General features: G+C 39.0%; 2 annotated features.

Moving 5' to 3' along the window:
• Window positions 900-1,043: a silencer, noted in NCBI's record as "fragment chr7:119591422-119591565 (GRCh37/hg19 assembly coordinates)". NCBI's record gives its function as "represses an EF-1alpha promoter that drives an FKBP-Casp9 reporter gene in an ReSE screen in phorbol 12-myristate 13-acetate-treated (for megakaryocytic differentiation) K562 erythroleukemia cells {active_cell/tissue: K562(+PMA)}" and the evidence as "EXISTENCE:reporter gene assay evidence [ECO:0000049][PMID:32094911]".
• Window positions 7,522-7,816: a silencer, noted in NCBI's record as "tiled region #12085; HepG2 Repressive non-DNase unmatched - State 24:Quies". NCBI's record gives its function as "represses a minimal TATA promoter and a strong SV40 promoter by Sharpr-MPRA in HepG2 cells {active_cell/tissue: HepG2}" and the evidence as "EXISTENCE:reporter gene assay evidence [ECO:0000049][PMID:27701403]".

The raw sequence follows: 8,840 nt of genomic DNA, 5'->3' as shown, positions 1-8,840 counted from the left end.
TCATGAAGAATCAGATATTCTGCAAATGGTAAAATGCTAACTGTAAATCTATTTCAATGTCCTTTTCAGTCAGGAAAAAGAAAATATTGGTAGTGGGGTTCAGTATTATTTCTGTTGTGATTCAAAGGTATCTGTGATTCAAAGGCAGTGAGAGGATGACCACTCCTGATGATGTAGTGTCTCAAATTCTGTTCCTTCTCGTTCTTAACTCTCTTCCTCAGGTTGTTGAATGAAAATAAATGTGAATATTGCACTAAATGAGTATGTGCTTGTCATCAGTGATATCTTTTTATGTTCCCTGCCTTTTGATTTGCTAAACCTAAACCTAGAAACCCGGTGAGAGGTGACAGCGTGCTGGAAGTCCTCAGAGCCCTCGCTTGCTCTCGGCACCTCCTCTGCCTGGGCTCCCACTTTGGCGGCATTTGAGGAGCCCTTCAGCCCACCACTGCACTGTGGGAGCCCCTTTCTGGGCTGGCAAGGCTGGAGCCCACTCCCTCAGCTTGCAGGGAGGTGTGGAAGGAGAGGCGCGAGCGGGAACCGGGGCTGCGTGAGGCCCTTGCGGGCCAGCTGGAGTTCCGGGTGGGCGGGGGCTTGGCGCGTCCCGCACTCGGAGCAGCCGACCAGCCCTGCTGGCCCCGGGCAATGAGGGACTTAGCACCCAGGCCAGTGGCTGCAGAGAGTTTAGTGGGTCCCCCAGCAGTGCCAGCCCACCGGCGCTGCGCTCGATTTCTCACCGAGCCTTAGCTGCCTTCCCGCGGGGCAGGGCTCGGGACCTGCAGCCCGCCATGCCTGAGCCTCCCACCCACTCCATGGGCTCCTGTGCGGCCCGAGCCTCCCCGACGAGCACCACCCCCTGCTCCAAGGCGCCCAGTCCCATCGACCACCCAAGGGCTGAGGAGTGCGAGCGCACAGCGCGGGACTGGCAGGCAGCTCCACCTGCACCCCCAGTGTGGGATCCACTAGGTGAAGCCAGCTGGGCTCCTGAGTCTGGTGGGGACGTGGAGAGTCTTTATGTCTAGCTCAGGGATTGTAAATATACCAATCAGCACCCTGTGTTTAGCTCAAGGTTTGTGAGTGCACCAATCGACACTCTGTATCTAGCTGCTCTGGTGGGGCCTTGGAGAACCTTTATGTCTAGCTCAGGGATTGTAAATACACCAATCAGCACCCTGTGTTTAGCTCAAGGTTTGTGAGTGCACCAATGGACACTGTATCTAGCTGCTCTGGTGGGGCCTTGGAGAACCTTTATGTCTAGCTCAGGGATTGTAAATACACCAATTGGCACTCTGTATCTAGCTCAAGGTTTGTAAACACACCAATCAGCACCCTGTGTCTAGCTCAGGGTTTGTGAGTGCACCAATCGACACTCTGTATCTAGCTGCTCTGGTGGGGCCTTGGAGAACCTTTGTGTCCATACTCTGTATCTAACTATCTGATGGGGACATGGAGAACCTATGTATCTAGCTCAGGGATTGTAAACGCACCAGTCAGCGCCCTGTCAAAACAGGCCACTGGGCTCTACCAATCAGCAGGACGTGGGTGGGGCCAGATAAGAGAATAAACGCAGGCTGCGGGAGCCAGCATTGGCAACCCGCTCGGGTCCCCTTCCACACTGTGGAAGCTTTGTTCTTTCGCTTTTTACAATAAATCTTGCTACTGCTCACTCTTTGGGTCCACGCTGCTTTTATGAGCTGTAACACTCACGGCGAAGATCTGCAGCTTCACTCCTGAGCCCAGCGAGACCACGAGCCCACCGGGAGGAACGAACAACTCCAGAGGCTCTGCCTTAAGACCTATAACACTCACCGCGAAGATGTGCAGCTTCGCTCCTGAGCCCAGTGAGACCACGAGCCCACCGGGAGGAACGAACAACTCCAGACGCTCTACCTTAAGAGCTGTAACACTCACCGCGAAGGTCTGCAGCTTCGCTCCTGAGCCAGCGAGACCACGAACCCACCAGAAGGAAGAAACTCCGAACACATCTGAACATCAGAAGGAACAAACTCCAGACGCGCCACCTTAAGAGCTGTAACACTCACCGCGAGGGTCCGCGGCTGCATTCTTGAAGTCAGTGAGACCAAGAACCCACCAATTCCGGACACACCGGCACAGTGTTGACAGACAGGAAGGTAGGACAGGAAATGTAGCTGAAATATAAGAACTTAACTGTCTACCAAATGATTACTTATGTGATCGTAATTCTATGAGTTGTCTACCTGGGATAAAGGATGATGAGGATGGGTTTCTGGCAGCTAGGACAATTATTTGAAAGAAAACATCAAAAGCAAAAGAAGTCCCCAAAACAAAAGTCTTAGGAATGAGAGCATACGTTAGGGCAAATCTATAAATTTCAAGGAAAGGATTCTGCCATGAGTCAGGAAAATTCAAAGTTCCATGACTCCTACTTAATATTTAAAAGAAGACGATACTGGTTTTCTAACAGATCAAGAAGTAAAACTAGAGGTGATGGATATAATTAAAAATTAAATCAATAGTCATGCACAAAAATAATATCAGGTCTCTACTGAGGTATGTATTCAAACAATGGAAACATTGATGGCCAGGGCCTAACGAAGCCATTAATAATCATAACAGTAGCCACTGAATTAATAACCACATTGGAACGATGGAATGGATATAGTAGTCACAACCAGAAAGGTATAAAGGACCTCTGTGTGTAGAAGAAACAGAACAAATTAAAAAGACAGCAATGAGAACTATACTAAGAAACAAAACTAAGTTACATAGCATTATAGCTCCTATAGAAAAAAATTGAGGAATTGATAGATGCCTTCTGAATGACTGAGAATATGGCACAGGGTAAATATTATGCAGTTAAAATTAAATATAAAAAATATACGTTTATTCATACACACAGATATGTATGTGTGTGTGTGCACATACGTGTTCAGCCATTGTCTGTGAAGAAACATAAAGAGGGTGGCCTGCCCCTCCTCTTGGGAGTTATGTCCCAAGGAGACCTGAAGCCTCTGTCAGCCTGAGAACACAAGTTGTGGTAGTCAGAGACCCCAGTTGGGAGGCTCCACATAGTGATGAGGAATGAGATTGGGGTCCCGCTTAAAAAAGCAGTCTGGCCACATTTTGTGGGGTCATTGTGCTGTTCTAGGGTACCGCTTCCACCACCTGGTCGGCTTCGCCTCTCCAAAGCCCCAAGGCTGGAGCTGCTAAGTCACTCAAACAGCAAATATGGTGGCTCGCTCCTTCCTCTGGGAGTTTCATCTCAGGGAGTTTTCAAATCTCTGTAGGTCACAGAACATCCACAGGAGTGGCTAAAGGCCCTGACTGGGAAGCTAAATGATGAAAACACATGGACACATAGACAGTAACAACACACAATGAGACCTTTTGGAGGGTTGAGGGTGGAGGGTGGAAAGAAGGAGAGGATCAGGAAAAATAACTAATGGGTACTAGGCTTAATACCTGGGTGATGAAATAATCTGTACAGCAAACCCCCATGACACAAGTATACCTATGTAACAAACCAGCACATGTACCCCTAAGCTTAAAATAAAATTAACTAAAATGAATATAATGGCAAAAAAAGAAATGTAGAGAAAAATATCTTGAAATTCGCAATGGATAGCTGCATTTCTAAAAGCAAAATAAGTGTGTTACCGATAGATAGTATAAAATAATATTTAGATATAATAAAAATGATAAATAACATAGTGGACAAAAGAGGGAGTGAAAACAAGAAAATGCCCTAACTGAAAAAACTTTATGCCACTAACACAAAAACACTGCTATGATTCAGATAATCTGAAAAAACAATGTAAAAGTCCTGGCAGAGAAACCAAGGATTGTAGATTGTAACCAAAACCCAGATTAAAAAAACAGCGAGAACAAAACAAAAACACAAAGTAGAAAAAAAAAATGCAGTGCACTATAGAGTTCAGGACTGGAACCGATCTAAATAAACCCTCAGATTAGGAAATATATGACCTATATACCTGGGAGTCTCAGATTTTGGTCACATCAGATGACAATTCTGTCTATACAACCACATCTGTTACATATAATTCCTAAAGTGATAAAGAAGAAAATCAAACAATAATATATTGAATAGACATACAAGTAATAATAATTCTAGAGCAAGCAAGTCATTGAGAATAAAAATAAAACATAAAAATGAGACTTCCTGAAAAGCAGTAACTAGGAAATGGAACAATGGAGACAATTTTTAGTATAGTCGTTAAGAAACTATAACATTGTAAAAAGCACCAATTTATGAATGCGTAATAGGAATGAATACTATTTGAAGAAAAAAAACTCAGGAAAATTGGAAACAAACACAATTTAACAGAGCTCATAAAAGAGATAAAACTAAGTGAAATCTTGAAATACTTTACATTGACCAAATTGTAAATACTTGTCAATATAACATTACAGGAGGATTAGAAGGTATAACAATAATACAATATCTTTTAGACTAAAACCTTATTAGGCAAATAATATTTCCATGTAACTCTCCATTGGGCCAGTCTTCCAATCTCTATTGGAAGAATAGAGATTTATTGTCGATGTTAGGAATTTAAATGGAAAATGTCACTAAAATTGCAGGGCTGCTTCACAGCAAAAAATAACACATGAGATTTTAAACAGCCCCTAAAAATGCATGTTAATAATTTAATATAGAGTTTGCATTACTAGTAACATAGGAAAGTCTTCCCCACTTGGCCTTCACAAAGAAAGGGGCCTTTAACACAGTTACTAGGTTACCTTATAGTCTGGTAATAGCAAACAATCTATATAGAATTTAAATCAGACTTCAAAGGAAGAAATAATAGTAGAATATTTTATTGATAATATCATGATCAAGGCAGAAAATAAGAAATAGTTAAGAAAAAAAGCTAATAATTGCCAGCCTACAAAATAGAGAGGATAATGTATACTACAAATATCGGCAAAATTGACAGAAAATGTAATTACATTCTTAAGATCAAGCCTTAGGAAGTTAATTTACAACTGCAAAGATAGTGAGAGAACTTGGGAGATTTATTTAACTCCAGAGGTATGTGCTTCCATTTCAAGGCAAAATGAAGGCAAGACCTAGAAGGCATCTCTAGATCTTAAAACTGCATATGCTAAGGTTTTCTCTTGCTCTTTGTGAGATGTATTTACAGTCCCCAAAATTAGAGTGAGAACCCAGGATCCTTTCCATCCTATCTTTCCAACGTTTCCAAAACCAAAGGTTTTGCTTTCTCCTTCTGGGAAGGGAATGGGAGGCAGACCTCTTTCTCCTATAAATAAGCAGATAAAATTCATTTTCCTCTGTTCAATGCCTATGTTGCAGACTTTGTATAAGATATTTGACTTGGTTTTCAGTAAGTCACCCCAGGGATAAGAATAGGGATATAAGAAAACACATTTTTATTATTTGCTTTTTTAAATTGAATAAACATAGATTCTGTCTCTGATACCTACAGAGTACCCTATGTGTATATTCAAGCTAAAATTAATAAAGATGAATTTTAAAAATGTAACAAGAACTCTTACCACATTCTAAATGAAGATAAAATTGCTTAAGTATAGTGGACATGTCCTCAGAAGCAGGGATGCACTACCTAGTATATAATAATTATTTCAAATCCACTTCAAAGGAATTAATAATTCGGAGGTCAGCATTTGATGAAAGTGGAGGTCTCCAGTCAGATCTACGGATTTATTTCAAAGCTATGGTAATTCAGATCTGGGCAGAAATAATGTCAGGTAGAAGTAACATGTACCCTCTAACTACAAAGAAAATGGTAGAAAAGAGGGATAGACTACTAAAAACAGATATACAGAGAAAAATAGTTTCAAAATAATTAATGGAAAACTGATATAAGAACTGTGAGATTTCAAGTGAATAAGAAAATATAAAAGAGATAAATTTACCTTCTACAATATATTCAAGTGATTATTATTATAATAATATATATTCAAGTGAATAAGAATATATAAAAAAAGATAAATTTACCTTCTACAGTATTATTATTCCCCACTTTTCTCCTAGAAAAGATCCACCTTAAAAATTAGGAAAAGTAGGCATAATTCTAAATATATGTATAAATTGTGGAAAAAGACAAAAATTATATGTGATATCTGGGGAGGTAATAGCCAGAGAAGTCCCTGAATAAGCTGAGTAAGCTGAGTAGCTGTAGAAAAACAGATCATGCCATGGAAAATATAGTATTAATACTAAAGCCATTCTACCCTGTTGTAAGAACACATTATGAAAATATTTGATTAATGCATTCAATTATGAAGCTCATAACTCATGCTTTGCTCAAGACTACCATAATATTCCTCTACTCTTTTATCTATTTTAAGGCCAAGAATATTTATGATATTTGTTTCAAATCTTCAAATAATGACTATGTAATATTAAAAAGAGCCGCCTCAACAAAAATAGATGATAGAGTTCTAGAAAACTTTGGCATATGTTAGGAGCAAGCTATTACTTTATGAAACCTGAGAATAACACTATAGATTTTGAGGAGGCATGTCAGATATTACCCTTAGAAGTAAATGTTACAGAAAGCAAACTTGGTATAGCCTAGATGTACAGTTCACTAATGAATAATTAGAAAAGATGTAATTACTTGACTGTATTTCACTCATCAGATATAAACTTGCAAATTTATTTAACAGATGAACAACAAAACCAAACTTAGGCTGGTCAATTGTAGGGGATTCAGCATCAAGAAGGAGCAGAATACCCAATACATCAAGAAAATGGCAATAATAATATAACTCTCAAAACTATGGGCAATCTGAACTAAACTGATACTTGAGCTAAAATTATCCAAATTATATAACCTGGCCCATGTAAAAGCACTTTTTAAAAATCAGAAATATTTTGAATATTATAACATCCTTCCAGACTCTGCACAACATATGACTTATAGGTACACTTTTTAAGAAGCACTGGTATAATTACTGTACAAGGTACATCTCTGCATCCATGGAAATCCAGGAAATGCAACTATTATGAAAACTATGTAGATAATATATGTACAACAGAAATTTATTACTCATAAATTATTAAGAAAGGCATACTAAACTTTTAAATAGTGACCAAGATATGGAATCATGATGTGGACATGTGAGAATCAAGAAAATATAGATGAAACTTCCCAGAAATGGCTTGTGAATCTCATGATTTGTATATGAATCTAAAAAGAAATTCTCCTCCTCCATCCAAATAAATCTGTGTTGAAAGTGTTTTCATTCTACCTTACCAAATTGTAAACATGTTTTTAAGAAATAGTATAAACATATTTCTGTAAAGCTTGTGTTTGAACATGTTGTTTTGAGAAAAGTTTTAAAAAATTAAAAACAAGTTTTTACCATAAAATAAGTAATGTAAACAAGATGATTGCTTTGGAAAGAAATTTTGGAATAGCGCTGAACATTGATAAAGTTTGTGCTTAGACACTTGGCTGCTCAAAGTGCAAGTTTTAGCATTAAGGCCCATCCAACCAAACTGTCATTGATCATCACTTATGGAGCATTCCTGATGAAGAATACTGAAAAACTTTTTCAGACTGAGGCAACATATCATTAGGATACTTCAACCTCTTTCTGCAAGTCATAGAAAGAATATCTTGCTAACAGAGGTCACACTTCTTGACATAGCAGTGGCTCAAGCAGTGGCAGACTGTTTCTGACAAGATAGTAGGCCCCTATAGCGTTTTTCTCTTTCCACTGGCTCAAAACCTACTTGGCTGGTTGAAGAAAAATAAATGTCAATATTGTTCTCATTAAGTATCTGCATGTGTGTTGGATTGATCATTTTTCTTGGCCTTAGTATCTTATCATTTAGCATCCCAAACCTGAGAGTATTACTTTTAACTTTGAGTCATTTATAAGAACCCAGTAATTCTTCTAGCTATGTGCCGAATATAAATACATATCCACTAGCATATATGCTAATAGCAGCAATTTTCTTAATAGCTGAAGATTGGGTGCAATTCAGATATTCATCACTAGGAGAATGGATTATTACAGTGTGGTATATTTTAGATCATGCAATACTAGAGAACAATGCAACGAAACAAATTGAACATGTTTTTATGACTGATGTGGTTTGGCTCTGAGCCCCCACCCAATCTCATCTTGAATGGTAATCCCTGTGCATTGGAGGAGGGGCCTGGTGGGAGGAGACTGAATTGGGGGCAGACTTTCCCCTTGTTGTTCTTGTGATAGTGAGGGAGTTTTATTGAGATCTGTTTTTTTTTTTTTTTAATGTGTGTGGCACTCCCCATTTTTTTCTCTCTCTTTCTTGCTGCCATGAGAAGATAAGCTTTGCTTCCCCTTCGCTTCCCACCATGATCATAAGTTTCCTGAGGCCTCCCAGTGATGCTTCCTGTGAAGTCTGGAGAACTGTGAGTCAGTTAAACCTCTTTTCTTCATAAATAACCCAGTCTCAGGTAGTTCTTTATCGCCGTGTGAAAACAGACTAATACAGAGACTGAAATTCACAAAAGTAGTGTTGACTGAAAGAAGCCAGACACAAGTGTATATCATGTATGGTTGTCTATATATAAACTTCAAAAACAAGCAAAAATAATTTACAGCATTACAGGTCAAAATAGTAGTTACTGTTGGAGTGGTGAGTCAATAGAGGGGGCATGATGAATTGCTAGTTGGATTCTGTTTGTTAATCTTCATGTGAGTTAAATGGTTTTCATTTTGTAAAAGAAATATAAATTTTCATGAATATTATGTTTGCACATGCACATGTGCATAAAACACATAACTTTAATAAAGGAATTGCTCAAATAAATACTGATATACACCATTAAAGCAACTGTGCCTTTTGCTATTTCAATTGA

Source organism: Homo sapiens, chromosome 7 (assembly GCF_000001405.40).
Source record: "Homo sapiens chromosome 7, GRCh38.p14 Primary Assembly".
Lineage (NCBI taxonomy): Eukaryota > Metazoa > Chordata > Mammalia > Primates > Hominidae > Homo > Homo sapiens.
This window is presented reverse-complemented; position numbering and strand designations above follow the sequence as displayed.